This window comes from Homo sapiens, chromosome 7 (assembly GCF_000001405.40).
Source record: "Homo sapiens chromosome 7, GRCh38.p14 Primary Assembly".
Lineage (NCBI taxonomy): Eukaryota > Metazoa > Chordata > Mammalia > Primates > Hominidae > Homo > Homo sapiens.
Genome location: NC_000007.14, coordinates 96,993,978 through 97,016,078, shown reverse-complemented (window position 1 = coordinate 97,016,078; position 22,101 = coordinate 96,993,978). Strand labels below are relative to the sequence as shown.

The following is a 22,101-nucleotide window of genomic DNA, read 5'->3' as shown; positions in this document are numbered from 1 at the left end:
TGCATCAATTAAATGTTCCTGCTCTTTTGTTCACTTGGACTTCTTATTTACTTCTGATTTATGGGATCCGAAGGAGTCTCTTTGCCAAAAGCACATGTATTATTGAGTCTGTTCCACATCCTAAACCAAGATTTATATAAAACCGTGAAATACCACACATTACGACCTTTCACCACAGGAAGGGAAAAAAATGGCTTTATAACATCATTCTACACACATACCCTCCCTCTCTCCTAGCTTCGGTAAGGATTCTCTGTGGGATCTTCACCATGCAGTCTAGTGTTTTTTTTTTTTTTAAGAAGTGGGTGAGGGTGAAGGGTGGTAAACAGTTCCCAAGCTATGATTTATTTTAAAGGCTTTTTTTTTCTCTCGCTAACCAAGAAGACAGAAACCTGCCAATGGAAGCTTATTGTTATCCAGGACTATTTCTGCCACTTGCCATTTGCAAGGTCAGGGAAGAGGGGCGGAGGAAGAGCAGGATATGGACTCAACTTTCATCTATAAACAGGGGTCACTAAACAGGGGACATTTCATTATTGCCCTTAAATTCACAAGAGCTAGGAAACCTGCTTGCCATCCTGCAGGGTGGCCCTGGTTGGGCAGCTCCCGGGTCTGTGAAGTGGTGGGAGGAGGGAGAGTCGACACACATTGGCCCAGAGGCTAGAAAAGATGCCTAGGAAATTCTCTGTATTCATGGTGGGAAAATTGAGCTCCTGGGGATAAATGGGCTTTAGGTATCTTTGACTAGGAGGTCCCCACCAGGAACCAGAACTAGACTCCAGAACCCTCCACCAGGGCAGGGTTCATCCTCCTGGAAGAAACAGCTTGAACCCCTAGAGCTCTTTGACTCTGGGACCAGCATAGTCCCCCAGCCTGTCTCCAGCCTCTCTTGCTCTAACTCTCCCTCTCTTGCTCTAACTCCCTCCTTCTTTGGTCCTCCTATATTTTAATAAGATTGACCTTGCTCATTTTAGCACATTGGTGACAGGTAGCAAAAGCAGCAGCTGGACTGGTTTATATGGGGGGGGGGGAATGTTAATTAATAAAAGTTAATGATAGGATTAAAACCAATAGCCAGCCAAGCCAACTGGAGAAGACAGCTTCCCAGCCGGCTATATTTAATTAGCAGCAATTAATACGTTTTCTGCTAATATCCTTTAGGATTCTATGACTTAGTTCCTGCTGAAAGAGAATGAAGACAGAGGGCAGAAACACAAGTGCCCAAGGGCATTTTGCTTGGATAACAAGAGAGACAGCAAATTCATTTAAGAAAATGTTCATAAACAAGTGACAGGCACACTCTCAGGCGATTTTGTGGAAACAATGGTGAAACTGACAAATGTTCTTTGCTTTGGGGGAGGGACACATTTTTAAAACAGGAAAATGTTTCTGGAGAGAGAAGGGGGAAAAAAAGACAGGGGGTTGGAAAAAAGAAAGAAAAAGAAAAATTATTTTAGACTCCAGACAAGCAGCAGATGCAGCAGCCCTTGCAAACACATCAGCCCTGCACTATTGAAGATTTGGACATGAAATGCTTCAGACCACTGATTTGCTATTTTCTTAATTCTCGCTCTTCTTTTTCCATATGAATCAAACAGTCTTTTGTCCTTCAGGGTTTGATTTGATCGCTACTGTTCACATTTCACTTTTGTATTTTCCTCTTCCTATACCATTACTCATTGAGTGCCCTGTGAAATTACAATCGTACATTTTCAGCTCAGCAACCCATTTGCAGTGCAAAAATAGGGTCTAAATAATGGCTGAATTAGCCCTACTGGACAGTTTCAGATGTAACACTCTGTAATAATTATATTGCAGGCTGGATTAGGATGCTATTATCATAATCTGGACGTTTACAATTATCTGTAATTTGCAAAGATGCGCCAGGTCTTGATTACAGCAGTTTTTTTTTTTTTTTTTTTTTTTTTTGTACCACGCTAACCATCACTAAACAGTGACAGTAATAACAGCTAATTTTGCTGGCAATATAAGAGGTGCTGGGGTGTGCAAACAATTTCACACCTGGATGTGCTCACTCAACCAAGAATATAGAGAAAGAGCTTCTGCCCTGAGACTCAGAAAAATATTCTCCTGTGCTTTGGTTCAGTATAGATTTCTAAACCCTGATCATTGCTTAAGAGATATTCACTGAGGGTAAGTTTTTATTTCTTGCATACTTCAAGGAACAGTTCTTATTTCTCTTCTCACACTTTCCAAGATACATGTTGCCGTTGTAATTTATCATGGGCTACAACTTTGCTTTATAGATTTCTCTATGCTGACCTTTTATCCCCTCTAACAGTAAAAAGGGTTGTTGTTCTGTTGAGTGAAAGGATTCGAGTGAGAATGGGATCCTTAAGTATTCGATTTGTCTTTCTTGTTTTCTATGTTGTTGATGTATTTGGTGCAGCTTGTGACTGGAGCCTGCGAAAAGTACCATGTTTCTATAAGGTGTGGAGAGACTCTGCTGGAGATTCCAAGCTAAAATCTATTTGAAAATTATTATTCACAGCTAATCCTAGGTAAATCCAGAGAGGTCTTTACACGTGGCCATGATTTTAGATTTTGAGGCGACAAGATATCAAACGGAGCTCGCGACGGGGCTCCTTTAGAACCACAGGTATGCGGACATTTGCAAAGGCAGGTGTAGTCTGATGAATCTCTGGACGGTGAAGCCCCTTCGACATCTTTCCTCCACTTGGGGGAAGGTTTCCGGAATAACTGGCCTCTGAACCCCTTCAAGGCTGCTTTTCAGGGTCTTTGCCTCAAGCTGGTGTGTTGGGGCGGGGGGGAGGGGGAGGCTATGCGGATCTTGGAGTTACTGCCCTCCGAGAACAAACGCTGCGACCTTGGGGTTGGAGGGGCATGATTGGCTGAGACGCAGAACCAAGCTAGGGAGCTAGAAAACCCAGATTTAGGGACGCACCAAGGAAGTCTCCAGCAAGAAGCGGTGCTGTTCTATCTATAGATGACTCTGTTTCCTGACCGTGTAGACATTGTAAGCAACTAGAGATGTTAAGTGCCTGAGAAATCTTTGGTTTTCCATTCCAGTGCAAAAAGGCCTTTCTCCGGCGGCAGAAACCTTTTGACTAAGTTGTGTCAAAAGATAATGAGATGTTTATTGGTGCCAAAGAGAAATCGTTCTCTTCATCCCCTCCCTCCTCTACCCCACCCCCAGCTATTGTTCTCTCTCTCCCCCACTTTATCTCTTTTTAAATAGGAAATACGGTCAGAACTAGGCTCCACAGCTCGAACTCTGCAACCTCTGGAGAAGTCCGAACGTGGGGAGGCGTCGTAGGCACCACCACTGGGCGATGCCTTTCGCCCACGCCCCTCCTACCAATCCCTCCCTCGGGAATCCGCTTACCATAGGGTCAATACATTCTAAAGAGTAAAAATATTAACCCTTAAGGTTCAGAGGATCCAGAGAAAGCCCAGTTCCAAGGGCAGTCTGGGGTGGGGGGGACTACTTGGCAGAATTTCTTGTTTAATTAAACTCCTGTTAAGAGATAAAGAGATAGATACAAATGCATCATGACAACACCTCGAATATGTCAACATGCATTTGCCGGGTTTCAGAATGTTATGCACTCACAGTGGTTTGGCATGCATCTGGTGAATTTTTTTTAACGAAAAATTAGTGTTGGTTTCGATGTATGGTAGCATTCTCCCTAACGTAATTTGAATAATTCAGCAAAGCCCCACTACCAGCTGTACTTCTGCAGCCTCTTCCATTCTTTTCAGCATTATAATTTTGGTTAATTTTCAATTTTAGGTCCTACGTCTCTGCAATTTGTGTATGAATAACAGAATAATTTCCCTCTTTTGTTTCGCCTTTCCTGTTCCTGAATCTAAATAAAGATGGCTTTTTAGTATTAAAAGTGGAAGAAAATTACAGGTAATTATCTTTGACGGTAAAAACGCTGTAATCAGCGGGCTACATGAAAAATTACTCTAATTATGGCTGCATTTAAGAGAATGGAAAAAAACCTTCTTGTGGATAAAAACCTTAAATTGTCCCCAATGTCTGCTTCAAATTGGATGGCACTGCAGCTGGAGGCTTTGTTCAGAATTGATCCTGGGGAGCTACGAACCCAAAGTTTCACAGTAGGAAGGGGGAAAAAAGAAAAGAAAACATTTTTCCTAATGTAACAATGCGAATGCTAGAAAATGACAAGACTGATCGGTTTTAAACCATTCTGAAGACTGACTGAGCGTGGAAGTTGCTCAACAAAAAAAGGAACGGGTATATTGGTAAGTAGTCTTTGCTTTGTGTCTAATTATAGTGACTGTCCTTTTGCACGACTGTATGTCGCTGTCATTATATGGAGCACTCTGAGTATCTCTATTGACTTCTGATAAATGGCTCAGTGGTTTCAAGGTTCATAATTTGAAGGATGCCCAGGTCTGTAGCCATTAATTCTCGCAGTATGGGGCTTCCTGCTTGTATGACGAAAGGACTTTTCATTTTCATTATTTCTGTGCTTTCCCCAAGATCGGAAGGATGTATTTCATCCAGCATAGTGCATTTTCCTACCTAGCTAGCTGGCAATGGGTTTTAAACATTAAGTAGGCATAATTGTGCACTCTACTCTCTATTTTTTTCTTTCCTATATTTTAAAAAACTGCATCCAAACAAAGACAAATATGGCTGTATTATTTTGGCTGGGAAAAGGGAAAGGAGAATACTCAGTTTCAGCACTAGAAACTACTGTGATGTCTAGAAGTTAACTTGAGGATAGGTCATTCTAATGTTTAAAACATAGGTAAATGTGTAGAAATTACAATAAAAACGTAATATGTAAAGAAAGTTGAAAGAACATCCATGGTTAATGTTAAACTACCTAAGACAAAGGCTAGTGTGCAAACTGACATCTTTGCAGGCACTTGATGTTCATATATATACATATGACTTCCCATATTAGGAAATAGGAATTTTTTTAAGGGTGATAGAAAATTTAATGGGGGGAAGGGAAGTGAGGGAGGAGGGAGGAAAGAGAGGGACAGAGACACACAGAGAGAGAAATATACAAGACACTCAGCGTTTTGTGGCTTTTACTCCATATATGAAAGAAGACAAAAACATACAAAGTATATGTACAACTAAAATTCAACAATATATACAGAAATGTTTCTTGATATAAACGTCCCTATTAGCTTTGTGAATGCCACCAATTCACCTAGTAAAGGTGTCAAAGCAATAGAATGGTGATTTTGATTGTTTCCTCCGTCTTTCCTGATTCCAGTTCAGGGTTTGGGGGGGTGGGGTGGGGAAAGAGTGGTTTTTGTTTTGTTTTTTTTTAATCAACCATCATTCCTGGTCATTGCATTTTGATAAAACATGCAGCATTCCCTTTGTAGCAATGTTCTAATCTTACAGCCACTTTTTCCTTTTTCTTTAGAGAAGGGCTGTTATGTGAGGAATTTTCTTTTTCTCGTCAGTCTGGGAATGGTAAATAAAAATGCAGGAGTCCAAAATGCTTCTCTTTCACCATGTAATGTCTTAAACTCATTAAACAAGTAAAAACGCTGCCAAGTTTGTGCAGATTCTTCTGGTTGGGGGAAAATCTGTTTTTAAAAAAAGTCATTTTGATGGATACTCCCAAAGAGAAGAGACTCAGAGCCTGGATCCCAAGGGGTAAGAGAAAATATCCTTACAGTAAGGGGTTTCAGGAGTGCTGGCATAGAAACCAGTTTCTCTCTCACACATGCTCTTTCTCTCTCTCTGAGATGCAAGATCAATTACTGACGTTGCTCAAGAGAGAAGGTAAATGAGAAAAAAGGTGAAAGGCAAAAAGAAAAGAAAGGTAGAAAGGAAAAGGAAAGAAAGAAGGAATGGAGGAAAGGAAGAAGTAAAAAGAAAGGAGAGGGAGAGAGAGAGAGAGGGAGAGAGAATGAGCCTAGTCGGCTTCTTGCCACACTTATGAGCTCTCCTAAGCCTGCTCCTTTGGCTCCTTTTCGCAGATACAAGCAGGTCCCGGATCCTCTTTTCCTTGTTCAGACGTTTCCCTAGGGTGTTCCCTTGGGCAACTCACATCATCTGTGGTCTCTGCATCGTGTCCTGGTGTGGAGAGGAGTACCAGTGAGAATAGCCAGGCATGTAGCTGTTGGGGGGCATACTGACACCCTTGGCCGAGGCAGAAACGTCCCAGACTGGAGGCAGCGCTGGCGAGCGTGGCGACAGGGCCGCCGAGCCCTGGAGGGGGTCGCTCTCATGAGGATTACTGCCCTGCTTCAGCAGTTTCTTAAACTTAGAGCGTTTGTTCTGAAACCATATCTTCACCTGCAAGAAATGCAGCAATCATTAGGCCCATAAACATCAAACCAGTGCCTCTAACGTCACTCAGGGATTTAGAAGCAATATTAAAAAAGCAAAAAAACAAAAAACAAAAAACAACCACCGCCAACGCCTACAAGCCAAGTCCCCGCCTCCTTCCACCTCTTTCTAGCCTCTTACAGTCCCACTTCCTACAACATACTAGGTATCTTGCCTGGATACCTAAAGTTATTGTAATTCTAGAATTGCGTGCTAGCGTAGGTTTAAAACAACAGTATAAATAAGAAAAAGCTGAATGAGATGACCAGGTCCAAAGCCTAAAGGATTTTTAAAAGCAGCCCTTTCAAATCAAAGCCATTCAATTGAATGCACCTCCTCTGAAAGTCTTGTCATTTTACATAAAATTTAGTAATGTAAATTTAGTCTATGTAAAATAACTATTTTACACAGTCATTTTCTCCGTGTACATGCATAGAGATACCCAAAAGCTGTTATCTCTATAAAGGTACAAGGAGCAAATGACTGAAGGAATTAAAGCCTGTACATTTATAACTAAATGCCTTGAATATATCTATGCATATATTGCATATGCCATAGATTATACATGAAGCATCTTTCTCCAGACATAAATATATCCCCATAACCTTGCAGGGATTAAGGACTGCAGCTCCTTCATTCCCTATTTTGTATGTTGCCTAGTCAAACTGTGGTCAAGGATCATCACATGATTGTTAGTATAGTAATTAAAAGTCAAAGGGCTTCTGAAAATTAAACGTGAATCGGGAATCTGGGATGGGAGCATATCTAGGCCAACATTTCAGATCTACTTTATTTGAAGAAGGAAATTTTATGGTGCAGCTTCCTTTACCTTTAAAATTCCCTAGCCATAAGAATCTACTTTTTCAAGACGCATACAAGTCACTGAATAGCCGGAATCCCTTCATATCAAACCCCAAATATTATGAATAGCAATATGGAAAGAGAAAACAGGCTAAATTGAAAAAGAGCTTAAGGAACAACTGTCTTAAGTCAACACACAATCAGTCTGCAGCAACAGTCTCATAAAACCTGAGGTCCCCTTGCTGAAGATTACCTACATCAGATGAGGCCTACTTACTCCATGTAGGTAAATTAATCAACAAAAACTGCAGGTGATTGCAGCCTGGCTTTTTGACCAGGGTCCTAATATACTCACCTAAGCTCCTTCTTGTGAAATCTGAAATGCCTTCTATGGCTTTCAAATTAGTAGGATGGGAGAACTTCAGTAACTGTACTTAACTGTGGCTTCACCTGTTACAATTTTGGTAACATTTCTCTTTGATCTCCAACTCTGCCACTGCACCCAAGTCCTGTGCTCCAGGGAGGCAGCTCAGACCACATCAGTCTGTCACCCAGATGACTTAACCACCGTGCTTAGGGAAATCTTCAGAAAAACCCACCTTGACACTCCTAGGATAAATAGATTGCACTTTGGAGCCTTTACTAAACCTCATTGGAACCTATGCCTACTTTGTTTTTTCTTAGTTCATTTCACAAGTTTTCTTTCTGTGTCAATGGGTTGAAAACCTTATTAGTTCCCAGGGCCTACAAAAGGATCCTTAAAAAAGTTGAACCTTATTCTGCCTCCTGGCTTGTACACCTTTTTCTCCTAAATGTTTGTTCTCTTTCATGTTGTTCTGCTCTGGAATAACACTCAATTGAATTATGAGTTTGGTCACAAAAGGATTCTAGGCTGGGGTGGGGTCGCCGAGGGTTGGGAGGATGTGCAAATCCAATCCAGTATTCAATACCAGGTCATTCATTCCAAACTGTGTTGTCCCAGGAAAGTGCATAACTGGAGCAAAAGGCATTTGTCATTAAGCTCCTTCCATCCTTGGTTGACTAGGCCAACAATTCCTCCTGATGTGCTCCCTGCCCGATCTGCAAGCGGTACCAGCATTTCAGGGATACTTGGGCTTCTCGGGAATTACCTGTGTTTGTGTCAGTCCTAAGGAAGCTGCCAGTTCGGCTCTCTCTGGAAGGGCCAGATACTGTGTCTGCTGAAAGCGATGGTTTAAAGCCTGGAGCTGCAGGCTGGAATAAATGGTCCGAGGCTTCCGAATCTTTTTCCCTTTTCCATTGAACCTGATTTCCCCGTTTTCAATCACTGTAGTTTTTTGTTGATCTGTAAGCAAATAATACAGAGGAGCGGTCACCCGGGAGGCTACTGCTGCCATCTCCCTGCTCCTGGCGTGGCATGCAACGAGTCTCCCCAAAGCCCAATAAGGGTTACCTCGAAAAATCCCTATGATGCCCCGACCTCTCTTGGTCCACTCTGCCCGTGTGCTCCCAGCGTCTGCGTAATCTCCTTGACCCAGTCCCTGGCCCGAACAATGTGCAGCGTCTGGGCCAAGGGAGCGCCAGAGGCCCTCAGACAAACAGCCCGCTTTGCCGCAGCGGAGGCGGTGCCGGAGGCTCTCTGGGGTGCGCAGCGCAGCAAGGCGGCAGCTGTCCGGGCGGAGCGGGGCCCCTGTGCCCGGCTTAACAGTACCTGAAGCTGTGCTTGAGCCACCCAGGTGTTTACGCGGCCAGTTGACTTGATGTCACCAGCTCCAAGCTCAGTGCATCAAGCATCCTCGGCATGTTTTGAAATGACTCTCCTGAGGAGGACCAAATCCTCAAACAAAACACAACCAACAGCTCAGACCAGCCCACGAGCAGGCTGCGCCTCTCACGGCAACTTTGTCCCCCTCGGGTGCTGAGAACCATCAGCCCGAGGTTCTTTGCTTCCCCTCCACGAACAAAGGAGCAGCCAACACTGTAGCGAAAAGCTAGATAGGGGGCCCGGTCAGGGATGAAGGTGAGGGACACTTTAAAGCCCACTGGAAAGAGCCTGACTGTTACTAGTTTAACCAGAGCGAAAGCCAGGCCAGCTTCCCTCCGAGTCACTGAGGAGCACGGGGCGCCCCACGCAAAGTAGGCCACTGCCTGCCCAGCGTGGGCTGGGAAGCAAAACACGCTCCCCAGTTCCGGCCCAGAAATGTCCCCAGCCGGGTCAAACGTGGGTTACAGCCTGGAGGGAAGGAGCAAGGAAAAGGGCGCACAGACCCAGGAGGCTGGAGAGCGCAGTGTGGACTAACTCGTCGAACGAAGCCTGCGCCGGGCCCGGGACTCAGCCCGAACTGCGCGTCGGAAGCTGAGGGTCCGCGGCGGCGGGAAGGGGCCCGGCTGGGAGAGGCCGGCAGGCAGGCGCCAGGCGAGCGGGCGCGCACGGGGCCCGGCCAAGGGCGCGCGGGGCCGCCTGGGGGAGGGGGCCGGCGGAGGCCCGGGCGTCGAGGAAGTGAGCGGGCGGGCGGGGTAGGGGGCAGTCGGGAGGCGGGAGAAGCGAGCTGCCCCAGCGGCCTCTCACCTGTGTCGTCCCCTCGCGTCTGGGCGGCTGCGCTGCTGTTGTGGTAGGACTGGAGGTAAGGGCTGTGCTGCGAGTGGCTCATGTAGGGGTAGGCGGCGAGCGAGCGGTGGTTGTAGGAGTTCCCTCCGCCCGACGCGTAGGGCGAGCCGTGGTGGTGGTGCTGGTGGTGGTGGTGGTGGTGCGAGCCGGCCGCTGCCGCCGCCGCCGCCGAGTGCAGGCAGTGCAGAGGGTAGTGCGCGCCTGCCATGGCCGGGGAGCTCTGCTGCGAGTGCGGCTGCGGCGGCGGCGGCGGCGGCGGCGGCGGCTGTTGCTGTTGCTGCTGCTGCTGCTGCTGCTGTTGCTGCTGCTGCTGCTGCTGCTGCCCGAACTCCATGAAGGCGGATTTGGACGAGTCCTGGCCTTCCAAGCCGTCAGCCATCGTAGTCATGGTCATCATCAAAAACTTTGGGGGCTGGAGAAAGCCTTCTCCCGGGTTTCCTCCACCCTCCCCCACTTGGCTCGCGCCGCTCTCCCCTCTGCAGCCACCTTAGCTCTTTGGATCCTTGCAAAAAAAAAAAAAAAAAAAAAAAAGAATTTAAAGAGGGGGGTGGAGGTGGTTCTCCCTCTCCCTCGCTCTTCTCTAATATATATATATATTTAATATAAAGAGATATAGTGAGCGGGGCCTTGTTAACTCAAAGGGAGGAGGAAGGAGGAGGGATGGGAGAGGAGAGGGGGAGGGGGGAATCTGCTCTCCCCCCGCCTGCTTTCCCCCCTTGGATTTTTTGGGGGCTGGTGCAGTTTAAGGCAGAGATTTTAAGGTGGATTCTGCGAAAGTTGCGCGTCTGCTTTCAGACTTGATGCAGACGCCACGAGTCGAATGGTTTGTCTCCAAAGGGCAGTGCCTCCCCATTGGTCAGTCGCCCCCTGACGTCACAGGCGCACGGCTTCTACTGGCGTGTGCGCGACTTGCAGAGTTCTTCGCCTACCTTCCGCAGTTCCAATCCCAGCCGGAGCTGCAGCCGGGGGCCGCGCTGTGTGGCGCCCGGGGCCGTTGGGGAGGGAGGCGCCTCTGCCCGGCCGGCCGCCGATGCTTCCCGCCGCAGCTCGTGCCCCAAATCCCGGAGCCCCAGTTGCCAATATCTCAGCCTTGAAACAGCCAACTGGGGGCTGCTCTCTTTCAATCCCTTTGCACCCTTGTAGGTTGCCTGTGCTTAGAAGCAGTGACCCCACCCCCGCATTAAATCCAGGCCCCCCTTTCTTGACGTCCCTGCCACTCTGGTCCTACTACACTCTTGTGGGAGCTCCTTGTCACCGTGGATTTTTCTAGACGTATTTTATTGAAACCACAGAAGGAAGACGAACCCTCACACCTGGGCTCCACCCCACTGGGGGGTGGTACAGAAAAAGAAAAATCAGACCCTGTTCTGGCTCGGTCCCTGCCGTTTCAGGCCGTATTTCTTATATATTGTACAAAAGGTTGTGGGGGGGGGGGGCGTCTTTTTTTTCTTTTCAGAACGCAGCAGCGTGTTCTGAAAACGAATCGTTGGAGGACTGACAGTAATGCATTTTTTCCTATTGAAAACAGAAGCTACTGTAATGCTTTCAAATATATGCAAATGATACATGCGGTTAGTGGTTTGGCAAATCTTGATTACAATATAAACTACCCAAGTAAAAGTGCCTTCGTCCTAAATTTGTCTCTCGATTACAATTCCAATTGATTTTATTTTATTGTCAACATTGTTAATGATAAAAATAGAGTCGTTTTACAGTTATTTTTACTTTCTGGAAGGAGGCAATTAGAGTTCTAATCAGGAATACACAAAAATCTCCCATGATTAACTGCAGTACTTTGTTCAAATTGCTGCTATAAAATTCAGAACAATTTGCCTGTAATGATTATGGACTGGGTTTATTTTGGGAGGTGGAATAAAAGTGGATATAGCATAAATTATCCTCTAATTATACACCAGTGTCGCCTCAATTATCCTCTTATCAAAATGGTTGTCTAACTGCCGCATTTAGTTTCAATTCTCTCCTTTTTTTCTATAAAAAGAACTTCATACCTTGTTATTATTAATCCATTTATTATTTGCAAGGGGATTTATATCCGCACATCCAGGTGGTAGAACCACTTCTCTTTCAAAGATGGACTGGGGAAAGACATTAAGTTCGGAGCAGCCCAAGGCTGCGGATCTAGCCTTTCTCCCTCCGGTCTCCAGACCCACGCAGGTTAAGGCAGCCAAGCAGAGACAGCGGAGCCCCGGTGCGTGGTTCAGGCCTGGTCAACAGGTAGGAGGGCCAGACTGGGGGCCAGGCACAGAGGAGGGCAGGCCCGCCCGCACCGGCGTCCAGGGTCCCGGGTTCCGGGTCCCGGGACTGGAGGAGGTCGCCGGCAGCCCGCCCTTCCAGAGGCTTGAGATTGGGTGGACGAGACCTGAAGATCCTCTCGGTCTGGACCCCGACTTTCGATCTGCTTAGAGACCTAAGCCGCGAGCCTTTGCCCACACGGAGAAACGTACTATCTAATATCTAACAACCCTGTACTGCAGTGTCTGGAGGTTGCGGGAAGGAGACAGTGTCTCCCTTTGGGAAAACTACTGAGGACTTCTGTATATCCTACTTCTTCTGGACTCCATAAGTTACAGGACCGAAGGAAACTGAGAAATAGAGAAAAGGTGCCGCTTGCCCCTTTAACTCCAGAAAAGGGTGGCTGCAGATGGAGCAGCTTGGACTTTATTTTTTACGTTGCGCGAAGCCCGCCGGCAGCGGCTTATGCCAATTGATTTTCCCAGCTCCCAGCCCTGGATGTCTAGCTATCTCCAGGACAGTTTGTTTTTTTCTTTTTCTGTCTTTCTTTCTTTCCTTCAATGTATCAGAAGACCTGAAGCTCGCTGCCCGCGAGTTTCCTCCGAGTTCCCAGGTCAGCGGCGTTTGCGCTCCTCTCCCCCTCCTTTTCCCAGCCCGTTGCGCTTAAGTTCTTGAGTCTGGGGAGCCGGTTCAGTAACTCTGAATTCATTTTTAAGTGGCGTGCCCTGTTCCCCACCTTTTAACAAGAGGTGCACTTTAACACGCGAACCAGTAACACGATCTACACGTTTACAAATCGGCAATGAATTAAAACAACAACAGAAAAGCTTCATGGAAAAAGAAAGGTGGGCTAAGTAAGGGGGAGATGTGGGGGGTGGGGGACAGAAGGGAATGTCAGGAAAAGAGAAGATTTCCCACCCCACCTTCCCACTCCCAACCCTAGTGCGCTCTCGGTACACGCGGGCTGCGCGCCGAGACTGTTTGTAATGTCCTCAATACCAGCAGGTAGACGTGGCAGTTTTATTGCTTTATACCCTGCAGCTTGTTGTTAACACCGTGAAGGCGTTTCACCCCCTACACCCTCACCCTGTGCTTGTCTATGTTTTTCGCTTTATGCTCACAGGTGCACCGCTTTCCTCGCCAGCTTCCTGCAACTCTGGCTGCACCCCAATTAGAGTATGTCGTGGCAGGGCCTCGGAAGGTCCCTGCAATTGAGCACTGTATCCAGAGTGCAGCTGCCTCTACTTGCAAGGGGATTTTTTTTTCTCATTTGTTTGATTGCTGAGGAAGCCGGGAAGGCTGGGATTGTCCGGGTTGTAGCTTCAGGGCTCTCAACCTTCCCCTAATAGTTAGTGGCTAAAATCCTTGCACTCTGTTCCAGTGAAGCAGCTGCACTGAGGTGGTAGTTGTGGTGCATGGTAAAGGTCCTGCTGAAACCTGCTGGGCGACCCAGTCTGAGCTCAGAGACAGTCAGGGGCTGGGAAGTGGAACGAGCGAGAGGTCCCACTTGGTGTGATATCTCTGCGCTTGCGGGATGGAATCTAAACTTCAGGCCTGACTATCAGACTTTCCTGCCAGTATCGAGAATGGAAAACTGGAGATAGTGTGACCCGCACACAACATGCCAAGGTGGCGCGCCACGAGTGGCTGCCAGGTGTGGCCTCTGCCACCGGCCACGGCGCATAGAGTTCGCGGCTCAGAGGCTATTTACCGCAGGGCCTCTTCCGACAGTCATTTCTCTCCAATTGAACGCGGCAGATTGGCTTCCCAGTCCTTCATTCCGTTTTCATGGGTGACGGTAATGAGCTGAAGTAAGGCGGTTGGAGTCACTCTTGTTTGCACTAGTCCAGCCCGCACTTCCAACCCTTCAGCAAGGGGCAAAAACTCGGGTTCTTTGGGGCCTTGCAGGAAGGCGCACACCTCAGGGGCTCAAGGCCCCGGCGCCGGGTTAGGCGCCAGCCGGGTCCTGGCTCCTGCTTCTTTGTCTCGCCCGCAGGGGAACGCGGGCCAACCCTTGCGGGTGGGAGGAGGAGGGCGGGCAAGGCCCTCGAAGTCTTTATCATTCAAAATAAAAGTAAACCCTGCAATCTGGAGTAGGAGCCCTAAGGCTCTTTTAGGGCTTGTAGTAAGTGAGGGTCATATTCACTAGGCAGGATTTGAGGCCTAAGCTGCTTTTTGCTTTTTAAGGTGTTGAGATGTTGGAATTTGTATTGCGAGTGTCAATGTTATTTAGAGAGAAATGCTTGTGTATTGCCAACACAAGACCTCCCGGGTCTGCCGGAGGCCACTGTTGGAGGAATGGGCTCTTGGGTCAAAGAATCTCCTGCTGTTCCTGGTCTGGACCGGTGTTTGCTCACGCATGTAGGCCTGGAAATGCTTTGGGGTGCCCGAAGTGGTTTTGCAGCCTCACGGGCTGTAGAAGTACATTCAAACCAGGCAGGACCTGGATGGGTTTGGTTGCTAAGTTGAGCTCAGTTATCACTTTAATTCTAAAGAAATTAGACCTGGATAAATAGCCTTTGAATTCAAAGAAATTACTCAGTATTGACTTACATAGCCCCTTCTCAACGGGAGACATTGGTGAAGAAAAAAAAAACTTGCTAGTCTTTTCCTCATTCAATATACTGTAAAACTCTGTTTGTGTATGTATGTAAGGAAAGGGTGCCTGATATCCTGGTAACCCGCACGACTTTCTCCCCTCCCCCAACACACAGACAACAGTGAAAGCTCTGGGGCACATGGGAGCTGCCTCTTGCCAGTGATGGCATCTTCAGGAGTTGCAAAAGTATCAGTCTATACAAGGAAACATTGGTGTTCTTGTCTGTGGTGATAAGCTGTATTGTCCATATTAACACCCTTCTCTCTTAGATGCCCCCAAATCCAGTTAAAAAGTGGCCTCAGTTTACCCCATGTTTAGAAAGAGTCTCACTTAAGTTTGGGGATAACATTTTCCTCATCTCTCTAGTCATAGGTCCCAAGAATAGCCAGTTAGAAAACTCTGACATGACACTGGCTCCCACAGGGGGCTTCACAGAGTTTTTCAAGACTGTCCAATTTGGAGAATGTTAACTATGCATGTCCCAACCTACAGGCTCCTGCTCCAGGCATTTTCAAACTTGGAGTCCAGTGGAATTATGAAAACAAAGCTAACCAGCTTCTCAAACTAAACATCATTTGCCTTCTCCATGACTCCATTCCCAAGTGTGTGAGCACCCAAGGCTTTCTTAATAGAGGGAGCTGATGTGCTGTGCCCAGAATTGATTTAGGGGAAAAGCAGCGCATGTTTCTACCTTCCCTAATTTTAGGATTGTATACAGAGGTCGGTCTGCTTGTCTGCCCTCTCCCCTCAAATCCTCTCTCTTTTTTCTCTTTTAACAAGCATAGGACCCCACTCCTAATACAAAAACACTCCTCTTTCTCTAAGCCCAGGAAAAAAAGGACTCAACAATGTTTAAACACTTAGAATAAAACAAGTTAAATGCTGATGTCTGTCTTTTCAATCTGTAGGCTATGCTAAGGTTGAGCTCTCCATATTTGCCCTGATGGGAAATATATCAGAGCAAAGGGAGAAGGGAGGGGGTGTTAGAAGTCAGCTTTAAGCAAGCCAGTCTTTGGAAAGCAGGGACCCCTGACCATTGGAGGATAAATACAGCCTTATAGTGGTAGGGAACAAGTATCAACAGGAAACAGTAGACTATTTTTAGGCATAATAAGGAGTTAATATAGCTGTCTTCCTAAATGCCTCCAAGCATCTTCTGTTTAATTCCTTCATCGCTTCATCAGCAGTAACAATAGCAAGGTCACAGAAAATGCCTAACATTAAAGGACAGCCCTGCTTGGGACAACTCTTCAGGAAAACCTGGGATGAAAACATCCCCTTGCTATCATGTTGGTCCTCTTGTTATAACAGAAAAATAAATGAAAACCGTTTTTCATGAGAAAGAGAGAGGGTGAGTTTGTTCTGTATCTGTCTACTCTTGTGATATATATGAACTGGTGACTTTTATACTCATACCTGTTCATAAATACTCCTTATCTCCTTTATTTGGGAATATCCCAATAAATGGAAATGTAATTTATTAGCTTTTTAGTAAAACTTTTTTAGAGGGCAACAAATTTGAATGCCCTTAGAAGCTAAGGTTGTTTTTGTTTTTTCACATTCCATTCTCCCAACTGTGCCCATTCATTCTCTCTCTCTTTCTTTCTCTCTTTTTTCTTGTTCAGAAAAGAGACTCCTTTAAAGCGCGCGCGCGCGCGCGCACACACACACACACGCATCTAGGAGAAAGAGAGCCCCCTTCCCACTACCCTGGGAATGGAATAATTACTGGTTTTTTTTTTTCCTGGCAGGTTTTACAAATTTTGTGCAGAGAGCCAAAATGCTCCTCATCCCTTGCACTCTGCTGAGTGGGGCCCTTCCCCGACAGAGCTCAAAGCCTCCAATTCTTTAAATACACATTGAGAGGTTGCGTCCATTTTGCTGGTTCATATTTGGATTCACTGTCTTTACTCGCACATACTTTGTGCGGAGGGAAGGAGAGAATGGGACAAAAGCAGGGGACATAGAAAGAGAGTTAGAAAAAGAATATAAGAGAGTGGACAAAAGAGTTTGAGTATGAGTCGGCTTCCTTTTGTGTTTAAGTTTTCTACCTGGTCCTGTTTGCTAGGTACCATTGCCCTACAATGCTAATTGCACAACAAATGAACAAAATGAGAGCTGATAAAAGCAGCCCTGTTACCTGCAGATCTACGCCATGTATATTTCCTCTAGGGCCAGGAGGTGGAGATGGGGGTGGGGGTAGGGCTGGAGGTGGGGGGCCTAGACTCCCCCAAACCAAGCTCTTCACTAGTCTTCTACCCCTTTCTCCTCCCCATTTCCTAACCTGCTTTCCCCTCAGACAGACTGGGCATCACGCTGCCCACTCTAACAGCTGCTAAGTCGAAGCAGGAGAACCCTTCAAAAAACACTACACAAGAGGTCACCCTCCCAGACAAAACGAGCCACTTTAAGAACGATGCTCAGGGGGCTCAAAAGTCTGGGGCCCAAGAGTTTAAAAAGCAAGGGTAGCGTTTCAGGATATCAGTTCAGCAGTCTCAAATGACAGGCAGGAATCCTGGGCTCTCCATGGGGCTGGGATGAAGGAAGGGAGGAGGGACAGGAGCCAGGAGGCCCGGCAGAAGCAGAGGGCGACTGAACGCTCGCACCGCAGCTGGCTCCCACGAGCTGCCGTCTGCAGGGAACCAGGGGCCCGATAATGGAATTCAGGAGGCAGAGATCCTCCAAGAACCAGCCACTGTCTTGTACAGATTTGTAGAGAAACCCTCACTGTAATTAAAACCGTACAGTCAGATTAATTCAATGTGTTGCTCGGCAGCGTTTTTAATAGTAAAAATCCACTTTAAAATTGAATTAAGTTCGAAGAAAATTTCTGCGAGATTCGCCGGATTTGCCAGCTTTCATTGAAGCCAGCCTGGGCTGGACTTAGGTGGTGGATGCATATGGTAGTGTCGCCCCCCTCCCCCAAACCTCACCACCCCCGACTGGGGAGGTAGATATGGGGATGCAGATATGGGGATGCGGGGGCTGATCAGCACGGGGTGCCAGTTTGGCCGCTGGGCTGGGTCTAGGGCCTGGGGTTAACTCTTCTGATCTCAGGCTATGCACAGATTTTTGACACCCAGGATAACCCTCCCTTACCACCCTCTCTGTGAAGTTCACTGCTCGGGAAAGGCGGGGCAGGGGTAGAGAAAGAATAGAGCCCCACTGTATCTTGAAGCAATTTCCCACTGTGTGTTGCCGCGGGAGCTGGAGGTTGGAGCCCTCTCTGGCCGCTTGAGTGACAGACAGGAGAAAGTTGTGGTTCTCCCACGTGCCCCCCACCCCCTTCTTGAAAACCTTCCAAAAATTAAGAGCATTATTTCAAGCGCACTGTCAAAATGTCTCCCAAGCTTTGATTTGGCTGGCCGCCCCTTTTTTTTTCCTCCCCTCCCCACTCCACATCCTTTGCGTTTCGCGTGGTCGTGAAAGAAAGGTTAGTATTATTATGCTTTTCCTTTTAAAGGTTGGACACCTGGGAGCTGAAAACTTGCTCCAAAGTTCCTGCGAGACGTGGCAACTGAGTACTAACTGAGAGGCTCTCACTTGAGAGGGGCTTAGGGGTTAGGGTAGAGAGCTGCACCGGGGTCTTTCTGGAGGCCAAAGGAGTTTTTAGGGTTCTAGGCTCTCTCCTCCCCCACGGATCCGGCCATTGCTGTGGGCTCCTGGGTTGCTGAATGCTCACGCGCGTGTACACACACACACGCAAGTACACACACACACACAACCTAGGACGCAAATTCTCTAACGAGTTAGTCACATCATCAAGCCTGGGAAAACAAAAACCGCTGTGGGTCCCTGTTCCTCCGGCAACAGCGCGCAGACGCTTTAATTGCCGCAAATTGTCACTCTGTCCCCTTTTCATTTTCTCGCTCCTTCGTTTATTTTTAGTACACTTCAAATGCCTACACATTTCCCTAGTAAGGAGAGCGCGGAGCAATTATTGCCTTTGCCTTCAGGGCCTGCTTTGCCAATCACTGAATGGGGATGGAGTAAACAGGGCGAAAAGCGAGGTGCGTTATTGGTTTTGCCTATTTCAGTTGATGACCGCAAATAACTCTCCCTACCGCTCCACCCCTCCTTCTTTGCTGGGTCCCAATTATCTGGAAGAAAGGAGATGCGCCCCCCTCCCTCCTGCTCCCCATCACACCCCACCCCATGTGCGCCAAGTTTTGCTCGAATCCAGCAAATCCCGTCAGAATTGGCTGGTTCCTCAGAGAGTAGTTAGGAAGAGAATTCCACAGGGACCCAACTCTTAATTCTGTATTGAATAGAAAGACCCATCATAGCAGGCACTTTTCCTACCCCTACGCGGGAGCATAGGGTCTTTTTTCTTTGAGGGCTACTTGGGAAATAGAGGCCCCCAGGCAGGTGATAGAGAGGCCCCAGAGGCCCCTTCTCCATCAAGGCAAGCTTTTAGAGTGGTTTGGAGCAGTTCGGACTGTCTGTTAGAACGGCTATCAATTGACATGGCTGTTGTTCTCAATATTAGGCAGGAATTCTTAAAGGAGAACTTTACATTTCACGGTGAAGTGTTGTCTTGAATACTACTGAGGTCCGTTCCGCACCCTATGGTTTCTTTTCTCTGCTTTCATGGGACAAGCAGAGCAGTCTGGGATGGGGAGGGAGGCAGGTGTCCGCTGCAGCAGCCAAGGGGGAGGCATCAGGCGTCCTGCAGATGGATCCGAAACAAATCAGTGCGGGATTAACTTGTGTGTCCGCTCAATTGTCCCCAACTGCAAAAGCAGCTTGGGCCACGCTTGCCGGGTCGGGTTTGAGTTACTTACTTGTCCTGGGCACGCGGTCTTGGCCCTGCCCCGGCCGGGGCTGCCTGGGACCTGGGACCCGGGACCTGTCAGGCTCCAAGTCCAGCTGGTAGGACGTTTTAAAGGAAGGCAGTGAATATAAACTACTTCATACCCCCCTTCTCTTCTCTCTCTCTGACACACACACACACACACACACACACACACACACCTCGTATTTCTTTTTTATGAAAACATTTACCAAAAAACTAATTTCAGATCGTGGAAGTAAATTTCATGCTAGAATATATTTTACAAAACATGTAATCTTTCGAGGCCGGAAGATGTTTAATTAAAACCATACTTGACAAGTTGAGTTTCAAAGCGAATTCACACCAGTGCGGAAGGCTAATTCATATTCAAGATGTAGCCTGTAATTCAAGTTGTTTGAAAACGCCGGCCGGGGCAACGTGCAGCTAGCTCTGCTTGCTACCTGCCCAAGCGCCGGTGGACTCCAGAATCCTGCGCTTGGAACAGCCGCCACCTCCCCACCCCCAACCCCGCCCCCGCCACGCTCAGCTGTCAGCTGCCCTCCGGTGCACAGGCTTGGGTTAGCTCCCAGGAGAGAGAGGGAGAGAGTAGGAGAGGAAGAGAGACAGAGAGAGAGAGAGAGAGAGATCCCAGGAGAGAGAGGGAGAGAGTAGGAGAGGAAGAGAGACAGAGAGAGAGAGAGAGAGAGAGAGAGGGAGGGAGGGAGGGGGAGAGGGAGAGAGAGGGAGAGAGGGGAAAGCTTCCTGGAGCACATTTAGTGTCATTAAAATAACTCCCGCAAGGCGGGGGTGTGGGGGCTAGGCACGCGGGACCCACTGGGGGAGCAAGTAGGGGCAGATGGAAAAGATACCTTCTGGAGGCTTAGTGGGACTGATGAGGGTCCCCAGCCTCCTAGCCTCCTTCTTGCCTCCTGGCTGACCCATGCTAGAGGAAAGGGAATCCCCTGAAGCTACCTCTAATTCTAATGACCCCAAACATGGGGGGTGGGATGGGGGATTGTTCCGCCCATCTGATTTGTGGGCACAGCTCTGAATCCTCAGGAAAAGGCAGACTCTGCACTGTAGACTGCATGTCTGCAGTCATTGTCCTCAATAATTTCCCTCTTTAACCTCCTTTGCTGTTTCCTATTAATTTGACCAGTCTTAAATCAGAGGGGCTTTGCTACATGGGAAGGAAATGCTCCCAGCTCAGTGTGTGAATATATGTATATAGTTTTTTAATCAACTAGCCTTGCTGGCATAGGGTGCTGAGGGCCAGCCGTGACAGTGGGGAATGAGAAGGAGCCAATGGGAAGTCAGCACAAATGTGAGACAAAGAGACTTTGCAGGGCAGTCTAGGTGGGAGTTGAAGATGCCTGTGAACAGCAGCTCCAGAGCCTGAAGTTGTGGCCAATGATGGGTTCCTGGTCACTGTCCAGAGCCCACACTGCAGTGTCCCTCTCTAGACCCCCCAGCCTGCTGATCTTTCCTTCTTCAGAGATGACAGAGAGTTGTCATCAAAGTTAGCCTTATGGATGATCTGAAACCTGCCTTAGGAAGAGACCAGGACATGAATTTGAGACTTATGTTCGTTCAATTTTACCTAAAATGGTCAAGAAGAAAAATTTCTTTGTTTATTCCAGCCACTTATAGGACAAGGAAAGATAATTTTGCTTTAATTGAGGATTGTGACAATTATTGATTGGCTAATGGACTTTTTTATGGTCTATATTTCCTTTCAAACACACCATTATCCTATTCCTTAAAGCACAAAGAGAAGTCTATTATAAGAAAAAGTGTTCTGAAATCCAAAGTGTTCAAGAAGTATTTTAGACAACATGGCTATCTCATTTTGCAGCCTTATATAATTGAAGCCAACACTCTTTTGATTTTATTGGGCCAGTTTAGAGAAAGCTTACCTTTTTCAAAGACAATCCGAAAACACTATTGTGAGAAAGTTTGTTGTTCTATACAGAAACTACCAGCTGGCATTTCTGAAGGTTCGGTAGGTATCTCCTTATTTGAAAATAGACGTGGCTATTGGAAGCTATATGCTTACACGATATGTGACATAATACTCATTGGTCAAATAATATTGATTTTAGATGAGCAGGTAAGACCTTGAGGTCACTTTTTAGTGTCTTGCATTTTGGAGGGCTGGGGTGGGGCTCTGGTTCACATTCTCAAAAAAGAAACAAAAAGCCATGTTATAATCATAGGCCTGGAGGGTGACAAAGACCTAGAGACAAACAGAGGCATTGCTGAGGTGCTTTTAAGCATGACATTGTTTAAGCTGAGTACTAAAATGTATGTACTTGACCAAATGCATTTGAAGCCTAATCCTACATCAGAGACTTGTGAATTACACAAAAGGGGAGAGGAACTGCAAATGACAATCCCCACATGTTTTATTTCAGTAAGAACAAATGGTTTTCTTGTCACAGGGTATGAGCACTCTTAGGGACGCTGGAGGCCCATGTGTAGGCAGCAATTCTGGCAGGAATATATAGTGAGAAGAATACAAGGTGGTTGGTTGGTAACAGTCAGAATGGTGCTTCAGGAAGGGCAGGGAGCAGCCTTGGTGTGCAGAAGGGGCAGGATGGGTAATAGTTCCCAGCTGGCCCACCCTTTCTATAGCCCCAGAGAATCTCATCTTTCCAGCCTCAGAGCATGGGTGGAGACAAGAGGCCTAGCCATGGTGGTGATTCATGCCACTTCTCTACCTTTCTCTTTTCTGCCCTTCTAAAATTAGCAGCATTTCACAGAGGAGGGAG

At 47.2% G+C, this 22,101-nt stretch overlaps 1 protein-coding gene and 1 long non-coding RNA gene across 2 annotated transcripts in view, besides 4 other annotated features; one reads left to right on the top strand and one right to left on the bottom strand.

Moving 5' to 3' along the window:
• Positions 1 to 2,013: 2,013 nt before the first annotated feature.
• DLX6-AS1 (DLX6 antisense RNA 1) overlaps positions 2,014 to 22,101 on the top strand; it is a 45,551-nt gene continuing 25,463 nt past the window's right edge. Inside the window, exon 1 of the long non-coding RNA NR_015448.1 lies at positions 2,014 to 2,154. This is a non-coding gene — a long non-coding RNA (DLX6 antisense RNA 1). The remainder of the gene's footprint in view (positions 2,155 to 22,101) is intronic.
• Positions 5,039 to 10,526, bottom strand: DLX6 (distal-less homeobox 6). Its single transcript, NM_005222.4, has 3 exons — positions 9,666 to 10,526; positions 8,248 to 8,441; positions 5,039 to 6,283 (listed from the first exon to the last, which is right to left on the bottom strand). Exons 1-3 carry the CDS (start codon positions 10,099 to 10,101, stop codon positions 6,032 to 6,034), a joined length of 882 nt encoding a protein of 293 aa, NP_005213.3. The 5' UTR covers positions 10,102 to 10,526; the 3' UTR covers positions 5,039 to 6,031.
• Positions 9,676 to 9,775: a silencer, noted in NCBI's record as "silent region_18385". NCBI's record gives its function as "represses an Ori minimal core promoter by ATAC-STARR-seq in GM12878 lymphoblastoid cells {active_cell/tissue: GM12878}" and the evidence as "EXISTENCE:reporter gene assay evidence [ECO:0000049][PMID:35858748]".
• Positions 11,088 to 11,809: an enhancer, noted in NCBI's record as "VISTA enhancer hs298". NCBI's record gives its function as "enhancer in: midbrain (mesencephalon)[3/6]" and the evidence as "EXISTENCE:transgenic organism evidence [ECO:0001131][PMID:17130149]".
• Positions 13,839 to 14,548: an enhancer, noted in NCBI's record as "NANOG-H3K27ac-H3K4me1 hESC enhancer chr7:96630843-96631552 (GRCh37/hg19 assembly coordinates)". NCBI's record gives its function as "activates a minimal SCP1, AML or CMV promoter by ChIP-STARR-seq in naive H9 embryonic stem cells {active_cell/tissue: H9 hESC(naive)}" and the evidence as "EXISTENCE:reporter gene assay evidence [ECO:0000049][PMID:30033119]".
• Positions 16,863 to 17,806: an enhancer, noted in NCBI's record as "H3K4me1 hESC enhancer chr7:96627585-96628528 (GRCh37/hg19 assembly coordinates)". NCBI's record gives its function as "activates a minimal SCP1, AML or CMV promoter by ChIP-STARR-seq in primed H9 embryonic stem cells {active_cell/tissue: H9 hESC(primed)}" and the evidence as "EXISTENCE:reporter gene assay evidence [ECO:0000049][PMID:30033119]".

Coding starts and splice junctions, on each gene's coding strand:
- DLX6 (NM_005222.4), bottom strand. CDS start 10,101: ATGATGACCATGACTACGATGGCTGACGGCTTGGAAGGCCAGGACTCG. Junction 8,442..9,665: donor GACGCGAGGGGACGACACAG/GTGAGAGGCCGC, acceptor ATTTGCTTACAG/ATCAACAAAAAACTACAGTG. Junction 6,284..8,247: donor TAGGACTGACACAAACACAG/GTAATTCCCGAG, acceptor CATTTCTTGCAG/GTGAAGATATGGTTTCAGAA.